The 16,601-nt window shown below is 53.6% G+C and overlaps 5 annotated features.

Moving 5' to 3' along the window:
* Positions 1,558-1,852: a silencer, noted in NCBI's record as "tiled region #6356; HepG2 Repressive DNase unmatched - State 4:PromP, and K562 Repressive DNase unmatched - State 8:EnhW". NCBI's record gives its function as "represses a minimal TATA promoter and a strong SV40 promoter by Sharpr-MPRA in HepG2 and K562 cells {active_cell/tissue: HepG2 | K562}" and the evidence as "EXISTENCE:reporter gene assay evidence [ECO:0000049][PMID:27701403]".
* Positions 7,516-8,496: an enhancer, noted in NCBI's record as "H3K27ac-H3K4me1 hESC enhancer chr1:16508387-16509367 (GRCh37/hg19 assembly coordinates)". NCBI's record gives its function as "activates a minimal SCP1, AML or CMV promoter by ChIP-STARR-seq in primed H9 embryonic stem cells {active_cell/tissue: H9 hESC(primed)}" and the evidence as "EXISTENCE:reporter gene assay evidence [ECO:0000049][PMID:30033119]".
* Positions 9,324-9,823: an enhancer, noted in NCBI's record as "H3K4me1 hESC enhancer chr1:16510195-16510694 (GRCh37/hg19 assembly coordinates)". NCBI's record gives its function as "activates a minimal SCP1, AML or CMV promoter by ChIP-STARR-seq in naive H9 embryonic stem cells {active_cell/tissue: H9 hESC(naive)}" and the evidence as "EXISTENCE:reporter gene assay evidence [ECO:0000049][PMID:30033119]".
* Positions 9,914-10,415: an enhancer, noted in NCBI's record as "H3K4me1 hESC enhancer chr1:16510785-16511286 (GRCh37/hg19 assembly coordinates)". NCBI's record gives its function as "activates a minimal SCP1, AML or CMV promoter by ChIP-STARR-seq in naive H9 embryonic stem cells {active_cell/tissue: H9 hESC(naive)}" and the evidence as "EXISTENCE:reporter gene assay evidence [ECO:0000049][PMID:30033119]".
* Positions 10,416-10,915: an enhancer, noted in NCBI's record as "H3K4me1 hESC enhancer chr1:16511287-16511786 (GRCh37/hg19 assembly coordinates)". NCBI's record gives its function as "activates a minimal SCP1, AML or CMV promoter by ChIP-STARR-seq in naive H9 embryonic stem cells {active_cell/tissue: H9 hESC(naive)}" and the evidence as "EXISTENCE:reporter gene assay evidence [ECO:0000049][PMID:30033119]".

The raw sequence follows: 16,601 nt of genomic DNA on the forward strand, positions 1-16,601 counted from the left end.
CCTGCTCGGGGCTCCGTCTCCCCACTTCCTGGAGCTCCATCCAAGTGGGGAACCCTGCCCGTCCTCTGCCCCTCAAGCCAACCAGGCATTTACGGGGGATGGGGCAGGGAGGGAGGCCAGGACCTGCATCCTTCCAGCCCTGGCCCTCAGCAACCCCATCAGGCAGTCAGGGGAGGAGCCTCCCCCAGGGAATCCTCCCTCCCTCTGTGTTGGCCTGGCCAGGTTCTCCTCTCTCTGTCTGCCTTTGTCTTTTTCTCTCTGTCTCTTCATCCCAGGAAGAGGCCACAGGACAGGGGTGTCCCAAGCACAGAAGAAACTTGTCTGATGAAAACAGGCCTTGGCTGGGAGCAGGGCCATCTGGATTTGCACCCTGATTCTGTCTGACTTGCTGTGTGACCTTGGGCGAGTCCCCTCCCCTCTCTGGTCTTTCCCATTATTATCTACCCAGCACATAGTAGGTTCTCGGAAAAGGGGAGTCACATATGCGTGCCCCCAGCTCTCAGCCCCTCACTGCCTCCTTTAATCCCCACAGATCTGCCAGCCTTTGATACTCCTGTGGGTGGCCGAGCCGGGGTTCTGAATAGGAAGCTGAGGGCTCATGGGCTGCGGGGAAGCAGGCAGGGGCTGAGCCTGCCAGGCCTGCCCGAGGGAGGGGGCTGTGGGCCCCTCGCCATTCACTGCTAAGCCTGGATCCGGGCGCCTTTGTGCCAAGAACAAAACCCGGGGGATCAGCTGTTCTCAGGCCTGCCTCTCTCAGCTCCGGAAGGGACGGAAGCCTGGGCCTGAGGGGTGGGCCGCACTCCCTCCATGGGCCCTGGGGTGCCGGGGCTGGCCCCATACCCCAGAAGCTCCCCACTACCTCCGGGTGTGGAGCTATGGTGGGCGAGCAAACCTGGGTTCAGATCCCACCTTCTACTCATCATGAGACTTGGGCAAGTGTTTTAAGCCCTCGGAGCCTCAGTTTCATGATCTGTAAAGTGGACATTAGAGTCGCTCGGGATGCGGGATGCTTGAATGAGATGATGCACTCAGCACGCGGCAGGCCCTGGGGCCCTGTGTGCTCTACAATTGCAGCTGCTATTAGACCAGCTTCTTTCTTGCCTGGGTATGTGGGGCTTAGGCCAGAACAAATCTTGGGACTGAGTGTAAAATATATGTGAGGGGGTGGGAGGGGGTGGGATGGGGCTCGGTGCGGGCCTGGCAGGTGTGCTGGGAGGCAAGGCCTATGACTCCTGTGGGCCTGCTCTTCCTCCCATCCCACCCTCCACAGTCCCCACCTCAGGGGCCCTGGGCCTGGGGCAGCAGGGGCCGGGATGTGTCTCTCCAGAGCAGGAACGGAGGGGCCTCCGCAACTGGTTGGGGAGGGGGGGTGGATGCCAGCCCCCGCTGATTAGGTCTCAAATTAAAGCCGAGCTTGCTCCTGTCGCTGCTCAGGCAGGCCCTCCTCCTGGCCACAGTTCCCTGCCTGGCCCTCTGCTTCGGGCCTCATGGTGGCTGGTTGCTCCCAGCCTAGAATTGCTAAAAGGCTCCCGTAGTGGGTAGGAGCCTCAGGGGACCTGGGAGAGGCTTCAGGGGCCCTGCCTGTGCGGGGGTCTCTCCTGTGACCCTCAGACCTGAGCCAGTGTCTGGGGACAAGTCACCGTGTCAGAGGCTGCGGAGAGCAAAGCCCAGGCGGTGATGACTTGAGTTTCCAGGCCGGGTGCCAGGAGGCCCGCGGTCACACTCCGCCTGGGGCCTGGGCTCCGGCCAACTGTCAGCAGCAGAGATTGTTGGGTTGGTTTTATTTTAAACAAAAAAGAACTTTGAGTGGAAACATGTGTTTCTTTTTTCTCCCCCTTCCCTCTCTCCCTATCTCTCTCCATCTCATCATGGAATATTTCTCTTTTTTGTACCTCCCTTTCTCTGTTTTTCTCTCTGTCTTCCTCTATTTGTCCCTGCCTCTGTCTCTCTCTCTCTCTCTCTCATTCTTTCTTTGTTTTCCTATCTCTTGATTTCTCTGTCTCTTTCTCTATTTCTTTTTCCGCAGCTTTCAGGAGTCAGGAGAGGTACCAGACTTCCTCCCTCGGGGTGTGGCCTGGGCCCCTGCCATAAAATCCCCAGGCGTGCCACGGCCCTATGTCGGGGGTCTGCCGCTCCAGGGGAGGGAGGGGGTGTCTAGCAGCGGAGGCTCCAGGACCCAAATGCTCCATCCTCCTCCATCCTCCTCCTCCAAGCTCCCACTGCCCCTGCATCTGCCCTTCCTGTGTCTGTTTTCTCTACTAAGCATCTAGAAAATAATTCTGCAGCTTGAGACAAGTTTTAAAACACTGGTCTGGCCCAAACCACCCATCTACAGCCAGAGACTGGCGCCGAGGAGGGGACCATGGCCTGCTCAACACCGCACGGAGGGTTAGGGGCAAAGCCAGGCCGACCCAGGTCCCCCACTCCCAAGTGACATTACTGACACCCCCAAACCCACAGTCACCACACTTCTCAGGTCCCTGCGTCTTTCAGAGGGGTGGTCTGCTTCCTAGGAAGTGATGTGCCCTCCCCTAAGGTGGTCACCCAGCACAAGGGTCCCCCTGGAAAATGTCCTGCCTTGGCTGGTCACCCCTCCCCCAGGACAGACAAGCTTTTGGGCCCCCACCTTTCAGCCCCTTCTGCCAGGCAGTAGAGAAGAGAGAAGAGAGACTCGCAGGCACAGTGGCTCATGCCTGTAATCCTAGCACTTTGGGAGGCCGAGGTGGGCAGATCACAAGGTCAGGAGATACAGAAGAGAGACTGGCCACCCATGCACTGGGCCCAGGTCCTAGCTCGACGTCTGAGTCCTTGTGTGACTGTGAATATGACTTTTCCACTGGCTGGCCTCAGTTTCCCCATCTTTGTAACAGAAGCCTTGCCTTTGCCGCGGATCCCCTCTCTGCTCTAATATGTTATGGTGTTCTCCTCTCCTTCCATGGAGAGGAATTCTGGAACATCAGACCAGGAGTGCCATCTCCTCTCCCAAAGTGAGAGGGACTGTCCTCAGTGTGGCCTCAATAGGTCAACTCCCCTTCACTTCAGGTTCCTTGTCCCCTGTGTGCAAGGGCCCCAGATGCCACCACCAAGGGGAGAGGTGCCACCATGACCTGGTGCACCATTGTCAAAGGTGCACTTTCTTGGGTGTCCGGGGTCATGCCAGGATTCATGCAGGGATAGGAGGGGCTGCCTGCGTGTCAGGGGCCCATTCCACCCCTGTCTCCCACAGCCCCAGGAGTAAAGTCAGGGTAAGTGTGCGGGATTAGTAAGGTGGGGACACGGGAGACTGTCTTTCCAGATTTGGGCAAACTCTGTCACCAGCACCTGGCTACTCCGACCTCCCCACTGCCTGGCTTCTGAAAGTGGCCCAAAGAGAAGGGCAGGGAGCCACATGGTCACCTCTGCTGGTAGGGAAAGAAAGACATGCTCCCAGGAGCCTATGAAGGGTGAGGCACCAGCCCTATTTCTGCCATCCCCTGACACACCTCCAAGGGCTGCAAAATGTGACCTTCTCCTGTCCTCACCAGTCCCTGAAGATCCTGCCACCTCTAGTTTGGAACATGGAAATGACTCCTTATAAGAGCCTTGAAGGTAGCAGCCATTACCACCCACTTTACAGATAGGGAAAATGAGGCACAGAAAGAGGAAGCATTTGCCTGAGTTTACACTGAGTGGTGTGCTCGCCCAGTTGGCTCTTGCAGGCTCAGGGAGAGTAGATTGTTCCATTTTCATGCATTTTGCAAGCCAAGTTTCATTGGTTGCTTGAAGTCAACTGTAGTGGGAGTATTTACACCACAGCAATCAGCAGTGACACTCTTCTTTTTCCTTTTTTTTTTTTTTTTTTTTGAGACAGAGTCTCACTCTGTCGCCCAGGCTGGAGTGCAGTGGTTCAATCTCGGCTCACTGCAACCTCAGCCTCCCGGGTTCAAGCAATTCTCATGCCTCAGCCTCCCAAGTACCTGGGATTACAGGTGCCCACCACCATGCCTGACTGATTTTTTTTATTTTTAGTAGAGACGGGGTTACACCATGTTGGCCAGTCTGGTCTCGAACTCCTGACCTCAAGTGATCCACCTGCCTCAGCCTCCCAAAGTGCTGGGATTACAGGCGTGAGCCACCACACCTGGCCTTCTTTTTACCCTTTTCATTTTTTTTTCTCTTTTCCTTTTAGAAAGCAGGTTGTTAAACATTTACCAGCTCACCACTGGCTGGAGGCCACAGCATTTATAGCGTCTCAGAAGGGTCTGGAGCTTAGAAAGTTTAAGAGCTTAGCAAGACTCCTCCTGTGTCTCAGGACCTGTGATGGATCTGAGCCTGTCTGACACCAAAGCCAAAGAAATGCCTTCCTTCCCTCACGAGGCCAAGAGTTAGCGTCTCTTTCTACCCCATCATGACAACTTCCTGTCCAGGGCAAGAAACTGTCCTGATTGTCCCTTGGGGGCAGGGATTAAAGGTACTACAGGTTCAGAGCCCCTGGCTAGCGTGCCCTGCCCTCTGACCACGTATGATCAATTCCATAAATATTTACCCAGCGCCTCACTTAACCTCCCTGAGCCTGTTTCTTCAAAGCTGCAAAATGGGGCCCTTCAGCCTGACTACTTTAATTCATCCATCCACCCATTCCTTCAGTTAGCGGCTCCCCTGTGCTGGGTGGTGTTTTTGAAGGATACTGGAGTCGGGATGCCTGCTTTGAGTCCTGGCTCTGGCACTGGCTTCCTCGGTACCATGGGCCTCAGCGTTCCCATCTGTACAATGGCACCCACATAAGGGTTCCTTCCAACTCCTTTCCCCATCTCAGGGGGTTGTTGCGGGATATCGGGGCTGGGGAACCTTGGCTAGCTGAGGAACTAGGCTAGCTGACACACAAAGGACCAGCAACAGTTCACGCCCTGGAGACAGAACGCGCCCACGTGATTCACACCGGCAGCAGCGGACTCTGTTTCTGTTGCCTTGAATGAGGTGCGCTCTAGTCTTGCAGAGTTTAGAAAACAAGGAGGTGTGGAATGTTCAGGGAAGACTTCCTGATGAGGTAATAATAACACAGGAACAGCTAATATTTGATGAGCACTTGCTGTGTGCCAGGGCTTGTGCTAAACACATGCTTCATCTTATTTAATCCTTGCAAAGAACTTGCCGGGTGGGAACGCATGTGCTACCCGTTTTGTAAATGAAGAACCTGAAGCCCAGAAGCCCAGAGAGTGGAAGTGATTTGACCAAGGTTTTTTTTTTATTATTATTATTATTATTATTTTATTTTTTTAGACAGAGTCTCACTCTTGTCGCCCAGGCTGGGGTGCAGTGGTGCAATCTTGGCTCACTGCAACCTCCACCTTCTGAGTTCAAGTGATTCTCCTGCCTCAGCCTCCTGAGTAGCTGGGATTACAGGCGCCCACCACCACGCCTGGCTAATTTTTGTACTTTTTTTTAATAGAGACAAGGTTTCAACATGTTGGCCTGGCTGGTCTCAAACTCGTGACTTCAGGTGATCCGCCCTCCTCGGCCTCCCAAAGTGCTGTGATTACAGGCGTAAGCCCCGCGCCCAGCCAAGGTTATTCATTTGTTCAGAAAACATTGATTGATGGGGAACTTTTGTTGAGTAGAGTTTCAGTTTGGGATGATGAAAAAGTTCTGCAGATGGACGGTGGCGAAAAGTTGCACAGCAATGTGAATGCACTTAATGCCACCGACCTGTACACTTCCAAACGCTTAACATGGTCGATTTTATGTTACATATATGTTACCACCATAAAAACACAAATGAAAAAGATTTACTGGGCCGGACATGGTGGCTCACACCTATAATCCCAGCACTTTGGGAGGCTGAGGCAGGCAGATCACTTGAGGTCAGGAGTTCGAGACCAGCCTGGCCAACATGGTGAAACCCCGTCTCTACTAAAAATACAAAAATTAGTCAGGCGTGGTGCTGCACACCGTGGTGCAGCTACTCGGGAGGGTAAGGCAGGAGAATCACTTGAGCCCGGGAGGTGGAGGTTGCAGTGAGCCGAGATTGTGCCATTGCACTCTAGACTGGGTGGGTGACAGAGTGAGACTCCATCTCAAAAAAAAAAAAAAAAAAGATTTACTGGTCCCCTGTTGTGTTTTAGGCATGAGTCAGATGCTGTGGATATAGCAATGAACACAGCAGACAAAGGTCTCTGCCTCTGTGAAACTGACATTGGAGAACAGCAGTCTAGAAGAACTTGCTGTGGATGGAATGATGAATGGATAGAAACGTTTTACATCTGCTCCGCACTGGCCGCACGCGGCTACTGAGCACTTGAGATGCGTCTGGTGCACCTGAAGAGCTGACTTTAATTTTATTTCATTTTAATTAATTTAAATTAATTATTTGTTTATTTGAGACAGAGTCTCGCTCTGTCACTCAGGCTGGAGTACGGTGGCGCAATCACAGCTCACTGCAACCTCTGCCTTCTGGGCTCAAGCCAGCCTCCTACCTCAGCCTCCTGAGTAGCCAGGACTACAGGTGTACACCACCACACCCAGCTAATTTTTTGCGTGCTTTTTGTAGAGATGGGGTTTCACCATGTTGCCTAGTCTGGTCTCGAACTCCTGACCTCAAGAGATCCACCCACCTTGGATCCCAAAATGCTGGGATTACAGGCATGAGCTACTGCGCCCGGCCTCTAGATTTAAATAGTACCTACCGAACTGGCCAGTGCAGCTCTAAAAGGTCAGCAGCATGTGAGTGGGAGAGCTGGGCCTGGCTGTGTGTTATTCACGTTCTTGAGTGTTGGCTTTCCACAGTTTGGGCCTCTGGCAGCAGAATCACCTGGGAAGCCAAAACTTCAGATCCCTGGGATCCCAGACCCACTGAATCAGAATCTCCGAGGCCAGGGCTTGGGCGTCTGCCCGTTCACCACACACCCCAGCTGATTCTGATGCACATGAGGTCAAGTTTGAAACCCACCCCACTGCCCTAGTTGTTCAAGACTCCCAGCGCTGGCTGGATGCAAAGTCTTATGCCTGTAATCCCAGCTCTTTTGGGAGGCCAAGGCGGGCAGATCACTTGAGGTCAGGAGTTCGAGACCAGCCGGGCCTACAGAGTGAAACCCCGTCTCTACTAAAAATACAAAAATTAGCTAGGTGTGGTGGTGGGCGCCTGTAATCCCAGGAGGTGGAGGTTGCAGTGAGCCGAGATCGCGCCGCTGCACTGCATCCTGGGCAACAGAGCGGGACTCCGTCTCAAAAAAAAAAAAAGACTCCCGGCCAGGAAGAGAGCTTGAATGAAGTCTGACCTGCACCAGGCCTTCTGGGCCCAGACCAGGCCTGCTTAGGGGCATGTGCCCTGCTCAGAACTTCCCCATCCCAGCTAACCCAGAAGATAGCTGGGATGAAGATAGCTACTTCCGGCTACCAGCCCATGATTCTTTGCCAGCCTGCACTGTTCCCTGAAGAGCAAAAAGACTTGGAATTTCCCTGCTCTATCCAGAGGGGCTGGGATGAGGGGTCCTGAGTTCCCTTATCCCATGTCCTACCAACCTCTGGAGCTCTCCAGTCAGCCAGCTCGAGGCTCTGGCCCTAGCTGGTGGGCAATGGGAGGGAGAGGCTTGGCCCAGCACCCCACCCCACAGATCAGCCTGGTCCGGCAAGGGGAGGAAGGAAGCAGAGGCAGCCTGGGCCAGCGGACACAGGGTTGGGGGTGACACAGGCCTCAGGAATTTGAAAACAAACACTTCGCCAGGGAAGGAAGAGGCTGCTGTTGGCTGCTGAGCCCGGGCGGGCCCAGGTCCCTCCCTTTCAGGGCAGGGGTGAATCCCAGTGCTGCTGACCATGGCCCCCGGCTGGACCCAGTGCTCGGGGAGTTTCCACTCCGCTGGTGGGATGGGAAGGTCATGGGAGGTGTGGGGGGATCCAGGCTCTGTCCAGATACGGGAGCATCCTGGCTGGGGTGAGGACAGGAAGGGACAAAGAGCTGGGAAAGCCACGAGACCCCAGGAGAAGGCTCAGCAGCAACAGGATGCCGCCTCAAGCATTTATTGAGCACCCATGGTATTCCAAAAACTGAGAATATAAGCACTGCCTAGCTGGGGAGATCAGGGGAAGCCTAGAGCCCTGTGGCCTTCCTGGAGGAGGTGGCATTGAACTGAGCCCTGAAAGGTAAACTAGGACCGGGGAGGACAGAATCTTACAAGTCTCCCCCCTTCACACTCCCAGAGCCGGCGCTCAGTGAGTGCATGAGTGAGTAAGCGGCTGACCAGCGACTATGCAGCATGAATGAATGACAGACTGAATGACATGAAGCCTGGAGTCTCAAGGCCGAGACTGCAAAAGAAGAGTCCATCCTCCTATCCCCTCTGCTCTGAACTCTCTTCATGATCCTGAAGGTGCTTGGTACCTGGAGACTACGGAGCCAGCCTGCCGGGGTTCTAGTCTGAACTCAGTCACTTCCCAGCTGTGTAACTTTGGACAAGTTACTTAACCTCTCTGTGCCTCTGGTCCCTTCTCTGTAAAGTGTAGTCATCGGCCGGGCGTGGTGGCTCACGCCTGTAATCCCAGCACTTTGGGAGGCCAAGGCAGACGAATCACTTGAGGTCAGGAGTTCAAGACCAGCCTGCCCAACATGGTGAAACCCTGTCTCTACTAAAAACACAAAAATCAGCCGGGTGTCGGGGGCAGGCACCTGTAATCCCAGCTACTCGGGAGGCTAAGGCACGAGAATTGCTTGAACCCGGGAGGCGGAGGTTGCAGTGAGCTGACATCTCGCCACTGCACTCCAGCCTGGGCAACAGAGTGAGACTCAAAAAAAAAAAAAAAAAATACAGAGGTAATCATAGTGCCTCCTTCACAGGGTTTTTGAGAGGACTGAATGAGTTTTACAAGTGAAGTGCTTAGAACGACGTTGCACATGTAGTGAGAACTACATGAGTGTTGGCCAATGCTATTACTGAGGTTCCAGCTTACGCGTTCATTGAGTCACTCACTCACTCACTGTTCATTCACTGATTCGCTCCTACATGCCATCCGCCACTTACACACCCCTCCCTCTTCACCGTCATCTGTTAAGCAATCCCCGTGTGCCCGGCTCTCTCCTCTCGGTCCTCCCAGCCCCCCTTTGCCAGTCTTGGATGGTGCCCGCCGTGCTGCCAATTACCCTAACAATTTCATTAATTCCTCTCAAGCCCAAAACAAACAAGAAGGACCTATCTGGAGCAGGGGTCACGTGCTAAGACCAGAAGCAGGTGTGGGACAAACCCTCTAGGACGAGTTCTTTGACCAGAGTTCATCACCGGAGCTGCTCCAGAGATGGCCAGGCCTCCCCACCTGCAGGTGCCCGGCCAGTGCCCCCCACCCCGGGCAGCCTCACCCACTCCCCTCTTTGAGTAAAGGTAAAGGGACTTGCCCAAGGCTGGGTTCTCCCACATCCCGACTGCACCTGTCCACATTTCAGGCTTCATTCATGCCAGGAGCCCCAGACCTGCTCCATGCACCAGCTCCGCCCAAGCCTGGAGCCCCGGGCTGGCTGAGGTGAGAGCCCCAAAGCTCGAGCCCATTTCAGCAGCTAACAATTAGAGCTGGTGTGAACATGATGACTGCATGCTGATTAATGTAAGATGGCTGAGCAGAAGATCCCGCCATTTCCTTCCCCACAGGCCCTGGGAGAACAGGTCCCGCTGGGGAAGACTCTGTCGTGTTCTGCAAAAGCCATTTCTTGAGCACGTCCTGCAGGCCGGGCACTGCGCTGGGCACTTGATTCCTTTCAACAGCATGACATGGTGGGAGGACAACTTGCCTCTCATTGATGAAGAAACGGAGGCTCAGAGAGGTAAAGGAACTTGCCCAAGGCCACACAGCCAGTCAGTGTGGTCCTGGAATTCCAATCCAGGTCTTCTCTTGCTGATTCCTACCCCCAGGGATGAGCCAGTTTGACATTTGTGGAACTGGAGAGAGGCTGGGTTTGGGCATAAGGTAATGTTTAGGCCAGAGGGTGGAGAAGGAGAGGACAGCCAGAGAGGCAGAGCCAAGCGCCAGGCAGGAACAATGGTACAGGGCAGGTAACGGGAGCCCGGCCAGCTCTGGGACTCCTGGGCAGGCCCTGCTGGGCCCTGCGAGCAACAGGCTCACCCTGTGGAGCTGCCAGGGTGACAGCAGCCTCGATCTGCTGACTCAACGAGTGCATCGGCCTTTTCCTGGAAAACAGTAGACGCAGTGTGGGTGTCGGAGGGAGGCACCTGTTTGGGAAAAGGGTGTGTGGGAACCCTGTCCTGCCCTGCAGCTCCCCACAGCCAGTGTACAGGTACTTAGCTCCAGGTGCCCCCCGAACCTCCCACCACCTGCCCAGACCCCAGAAGCCACCGGATCCAGGAGTCCGAGCCAGCTGTGGGCTGAGTCCATGGTGCCACCAAGGCTCTGCATGACCAGTGCTGCCAGCCACCACCTCAGCCAAGCAGCACAGCCTCTCAGGGCATGTCCCCACTTGCTGTCTGCAGAGCCTTGTTTTGCCCCACCCTGAAGGGGCAGGTGTAGACGAGCATTGAGGCAGGTCTATGTGACACCACTTGCTGTCACTCTTCTTTGGGAGGTATCAGGGCCACTCTGCCACGGGGCACAGCTTAGGGCCTCCATGGAATCTGGTCTGAAGGATCCCGCTGCCCAGAGGGGGGTCAAGAATACGGAATGGGTTCAGGAGCACCCCCTGTCTTCAGGATCCAGTTGGGGGAGGTCCCAGCAGGGCCAGTCACAGACACTTGTCACACCCTGGAGGGGATAATAGGATCTGGGGCTCAGCCTCCACCAATTTCATCACCACACACCACACCCAGGCAAGGGAGAGCAGAGGCATCAGCAGGGCCTGGCTGAGGGGCTGAAGCCTGGTGGGGAAGCAGGGAGGGCCCCTGGGCCTCTCGGTCCTATCTCTTCCCAATCCAGGCCTCAGCGGACTCCAGGGCAGGGGTGCGGGAGCTGATTTCCAGGTGCAATATTCACTGTCACCATGGCCGCTTCCAGCACCCAGCCTGAATTTCCTAGTGCAATGCTGGGAAGAACTAGTCTTTTTCTTTTTTTTTCTTTTTTTCTTTTTTTTTTTTTTTGAGACAAACTCCTGCACTGTCGCCCAGACTGGAGTGCAGTGGCACGATCTCAGCTTGCTGCAACCTTCGACTCCCAGGTTCAAGCGATTCTCTTACCTCGGCCTCCCAAGTAGCTGGGATTACCAGTGCCCCACCACCACGCCTGGCTAATATTTTTTTTTTTTTTTTTTTTGAGACGGAGTCTTGCTCTGTCACTGAGGCTGGAGTGCAGTGGCGCGATCTCAGCTCACTGCAAGCTCCGCCTCCCGGGTTCACGCCATTTTCCTGCCTCAGCCTCCCAAGTAGCTGGGACTACAGGCGCCCGCCACCACGCCCGGCTAAGTTTTTGTATTTTTAGTAGAGACGGGGTTTCACTGTGGTCTCAATCTCCTGACCTCGTGATCCACCTGCCTCGGCCTCCCAAAGTGCTGGGATTACAGGCGTGAGCCACCGTGCCTGGCCAATTTTTTTGTATTTTTAGTAGAGATGGGGTTTCGCCATGTTGACTGTGGCTGGTCTCGAACTCCTGACCTTATGATCCCCCTGCCTTTGCCTCCCAAAGTGCTGGGATTACAGGTGTGAGCCACCGTGCCTGGCCTCTTTTTCTTTTTCTTTTGAGATAGGGTCTCACTCTGTCACTCAGGCTGGAGTACAGTGGAGTGATCATGGCTCACTGCAGCCTCTACCTCCCAAGCTCAAGTGATCCTCCCACCTCAGCCTCCTGAGTAGCTAGGATACAGGCACTCACCACCACACCTGGCTAATTAAAAAAAAATTTTTTTTTTTGAGACAGAGTCTCGCTCTGTCGCCCAGGCTGGGGGGCAATGGCGCGATCTCGGCTCACTGCAAGCTCCACCTCCTGGGTTCACGCCGTTCTCCCACCTCAGCCTCCTGAGTAGCTGGGACTACAGGCGCCCACCACCACGCCCAGCTAACTTTTTGTATTTTTAGTAGAGACAGAGTTTCACCTTGTTAGCCAGGATGGTCTTGATCTCCTGACCTCATGATCTGCCCGCCTCGGCCTGCCAAAGTGCTGGGATTACAGGCATGAGCCACCATACCCTGTCAAAAAAAATTTTTTTAGAGATGATGTCTCACTATGTTGCCCAGGCTAGTCTCAAACTCCTGAGCTCAAGTGATCCTTCTGCCTCAGCCTCCCAAAGTGCTGGGATGACAGGTGTGAGCCACTGTGCCCGGCCTGGGCAGAGCTCCTCCTGAGAGCCCGTCTGAGTGGGCTCGGGTACAGCACTGGCACATCCTCCGTGTCTTCACTTCCAGCCTCTCAAGCTGTTGTGAGAATCCTGGGGGCTGGGGAACATGCTTACACTTTGAGCTGGAATCGCTGCAGAGCTAGGGTCGGGGAAGTTGTGATAGTCAAGGGCTTCGGGGAGTAGGCCTAGGTCTGGTGGGTCTGGTTTCAAAGAAGCTCTGCCTTTTACTTGCTGTGTGACTTCAGGCAAGTCACTTCTCCTCTCTGAGCTTCCCTTTCCTTCTTAGTAAAGTTTGGCTGAGTTGAACAGAACCTGCTCCTAGCAGAGTTACAAGGATTAAAGGGCATAATTGGTGCCAATGGAGTGGTAAACAACACTCAGTGCACAGTGGCGGTGATTTTTATTGTCCCCTTATTCAGTCAAGAACTTGGCATATCCGGGGCAGTGGCTCACGCCTGTAATCCCAGCACTTTGGAATGCCGAGGTGGGTAGATCACCTGAGGTCAGGAGTACGAGACCAGCCTGGCCAACATGGCAAAAACCCATCTCTGCTAAAAATACAAAAATTAGCCTGGCATGGTGGTGCATGCCTGTAATCCCAGCTACTCAGGAGGCTGAGGAAAGAGAATCGCTTGAGCCTGGGAGGCGGAAGTTGCAGTGAGCTGAGATTGTGCCACTGCACTCCAGCCTGGGTGACAGAGCGAGACTCTTAAAAAAAAAAAAAAAAAAAGGGAGGCATGGGGGGCTAGGGAAGGGATAGCATTAGGAGAAATACCTAATGTAAATAGCGGGTTGATGGGTGCAGCAAACCACCATGGCACGTGTATACCTATGTAACAAACCTCCATGTTCAACACATGTATCCCAGAAATTAAAGTATAAAAAAAATTACACCAATATAAAGAATGGATACATTATGTGAGTTACTGTGCCATGTGATAATGAAGTTCAAATTGTAAATACAACCACTAACTATTTCTGTGATTCATATTTTTATATAAGAAAAATAAAAAGAAGAAGAAGAACTTGACATGAAGGACTGGGACATCATAGGACCAAGGGGGTGGTCTCTGGAGCCTCTGAGCATGTTTCAGACTTAGGAACCCTCACAGCTGAGGCCAGGACTGGCCATGTGCTCCTGTCTCCAGGGCTCTATGCCCTCCCTTCCCTCTACCCAGCCCACTGCCCCTGCCCCTACTCCCTACCCCTGCCCCACAGACACAGCCAAGCCTCAGGAGGACTCAACCCACAGGAATGTGGGCAATGAGCAGGCTGCGCTCGGAGGACCCCGCTATCCCAGCCCTGGGCTCTGCCGCCCTCTGGTGGCTGGGCTGGGAAGGATGCTGCTCCCATTACTGCCGTTGTAGAACCGCAATTGCCCTAAAAAAATAAAATGCTGTTGCTGCTACTCATGATGATGACGATGATGGCGATGACGATGATGATGATATTCATTGCTTTATGGTTTGCCAAGTACCTTCTCCGTCAATCATAGGCTGCACCAAACAGAGTGCAGGGTTCTGGACTGAAATCAGATGGGAATGTAAGTCCCTAGTCAAGTTCCAACTGATTATGTGACCTTGGGCAAGTCATGTCACTTCCTTGAGCCTCAGACTCCTCATCTGTGGAACGGGGTGACAAAAATAGGGTTGTTATAAGGATTAAAAGACCTAACACCTGGCCGGGCGTGGTGACTCATGCCTGTAACACCAGCACTTTGGGAGGCCGAGGTAGGAGGACTGCTTGAGCTCAGGAGTTTGAGACCAGCCCGGGCAAATGGTGAAACCCCACCTCCACTAAAAATACAAAAAATAGCCAAGCATGTTGGCACATGCCTGTAATTCCAGCTACTCAGGAGGCCGAGACTTGAGAATCGCTTGAACCCAGGAGGTGGAGATTGCAGTGAGCCTAGATCACACCACTGCACTCCAGCCTGGGCGACAGAATGAGACTCTGTCAAAAACAAAACAAACAACAACAACAACAACAAACCATCTATTGAACTAAATTGGCCTCCAAAATATACCCTTCTGGAATTTAGGTGGCTATTAAAAGACCTAACACCTGGCACTTGGGTTGGAGAGAATAACATGGCTGTCGTTATATACTAATCCTTGGCCAGTCTGTCCTGGGAGATCAACTCCCCTTTGCATAGGGCTTTTTCGAAGTCCTTTTCCAAGGCATCACCTTCTTGTAGCTGCATTATCATGCCCGTTTACCAGATGAGGAAACTGAGGCTCAGAGAGGGGAAGCAGCTTGCCTAGAGCATCGTGGCTTATAAGTTAAAGCAAGACTCAAGCCAGGTCCACCTGCCTCCAAACCCGGTGCTGGACTTTCCCACACCCTGCTTTGGAAACTCTAAGGAACCTTCCAATCCCCCAAATCCTATTGCCTCATTTAAGTAAAGCAGGCCTGGTTTCTGCCTCCTTCAGTGCCCCTCTTCTCCTCCCACACCCTTCCAGCAGCCGAAACGCTAGACCCAATAGCTTACCCCTTCCTCCTTCCTGACCAGCTCCCAACCCTCAGGGCAGCTCATGAGCCAAGAGCTTGAGAGTGGCTTCCAAAGGTCATCCTCTCCACCCCGCTGTGCCCCACCCAAGCAGATGACTGTTCATCCTGTTCTTCACGCTGCTCAGGGGAAGAAATTCCCCAGCTTCACTCCCTCCACTCGCCCAGGTGTCTGAGACAGTTCCCACAGTTGGCAAACTCTGCCTTAAGTCCCACCAGAGTCCCTCCTGCTACAACGTCAGCCCATTTATTTTAGTTCTTTCTCCCAGTAGCATCAGAAATACAATCTGGGGGGAGACAAACGCCGGGAGAGTGGGATCCTGGGAAGGGGAAGGCACACTTGGGGACAGGAAGTGAGAGCAAACCCAGGTTCAAATCCCGGTCAGGGTGACAAGAGTGGCCAAGCGAGGCCAGGCGCAGTGGTTCACACCTGTAATCTTAGCACTCTGGGAGGCTGAGGGGGGCAGATCACTTGAGGTCAGAAGTTCGAGACCAGCCTGACCAACATGGTGAAACTCCGTGTCTACTAAAAATATAAAACTTAGCTGGGCGCTGTGGTGGGCGCCTGTAATCCCAGCTACTCAGGAGGCTGAGGCAGGAGAATCGCTTGAACCCAGGAGGCAGAGGTTGCAGTGACCCAGAATGGTGCCACTGCACTCTAGTCTGGGCGACAGAGTGAGACTTCATCTAAAAAAAAAAAAAAAAAGAGCGGCCCAGTGGGTCTCCTGGTGTCCAGGGCAGTCTCAGCCCAGATGGGGCAGCCCCGCCCACAGCCCGAGGGCATCCAGACCCTCCACCCCACCATACTGGCACCAAGTAGCTCAAATGAGGGAAGAGAGCTGGGGTGGGACTTGGAAGCAGAGCGGGTCTGAGGGGCAATTATGAGCTCGGGCTCAGGGTTCATGCAGAGCCGGGCTCAGACCCAGCAACAAATATTCACTGAGCTGCTCCTGGGTTCCAGGCATGGCAGTTGGCAATGAGGCCACAGCACTGGGAAGACAGCCAGAGGCCCTTTCTTCATGGATTTCACGGTCCAGTGGGGGAGACAACAGAAAACAGGTCACCACATGGATCAACAAGGAATCCCAGAGTGGCCACTCGGCTCTGCACTGTCCCCCTCCTGTCACCTCCATTTCAGCTCTCAGGATGCAGCTTCAGTGGCACCACCTCCAGGAAGCCCACCCTGACTGCCAGTGAGGACAGGCTGCTCCCTTATTTGTGCCCCCACAGCCCCACAGTTTGCACTGTGTAAGCTTTCAGCTGAAATTTAACTCCCATGCAGAAAAGCACACAGATCTTAGGCGCCCAGCCTGATGGACTGGTCCCAAAGTGCACAGCCCTGTGGAAGCAACATCAGCAGTCCCTCCCTAAGCAGTCACTACTTCAGCTGCAGGCGCTCCCCACCCTGACCTCGATCCATCAATTAGTCTGCCTGGTTTTGTACTTTATGCAAATCAACTAATTTGTTTTGTTGTTGTTTTTTTTTTTTTTTGGCGTCTGGCTTCTCTCACGTTCAGTCTAGATTCGCCTATGCAGACACAGACAGTACTTGTAGTTGTAGACAGTTTAGTCTCGTGACTGTGTAGTGTTCCACTGTGTGAATATACCAGGATTTTCATTTTACTATTGATGAGCATTTGGGTAGTTTCTAGCATTTTGGCTATTAATGGATAATACTGCTAAAAACATGCTAATTCAGGTCTTTTTGGGCACATATGTACCCATTTCTGTTGGGTGTATACCCAAAGAAAGCAGTGGAATGTCTGGGTCATAGCATAGGCAAGTTCAGCTTTTGCAGATGCAGCCAAGCTGTTTTCCAAAGTAGCTGTGCCAATTCACACCCCACCAACAGTGTAGA

This window comes from Homo sapiens, chromosome 1 (assembly GCF_000001405.40).
Source record: "Homo sapiens chromosome 1, GRCh38.p14 Primary Assembly".
Lineage (NCBI taxonomy): Eukaryota > Metazoa > Chordata > Mammalia > Primates > Hominidae > Homo > Homo sapiens.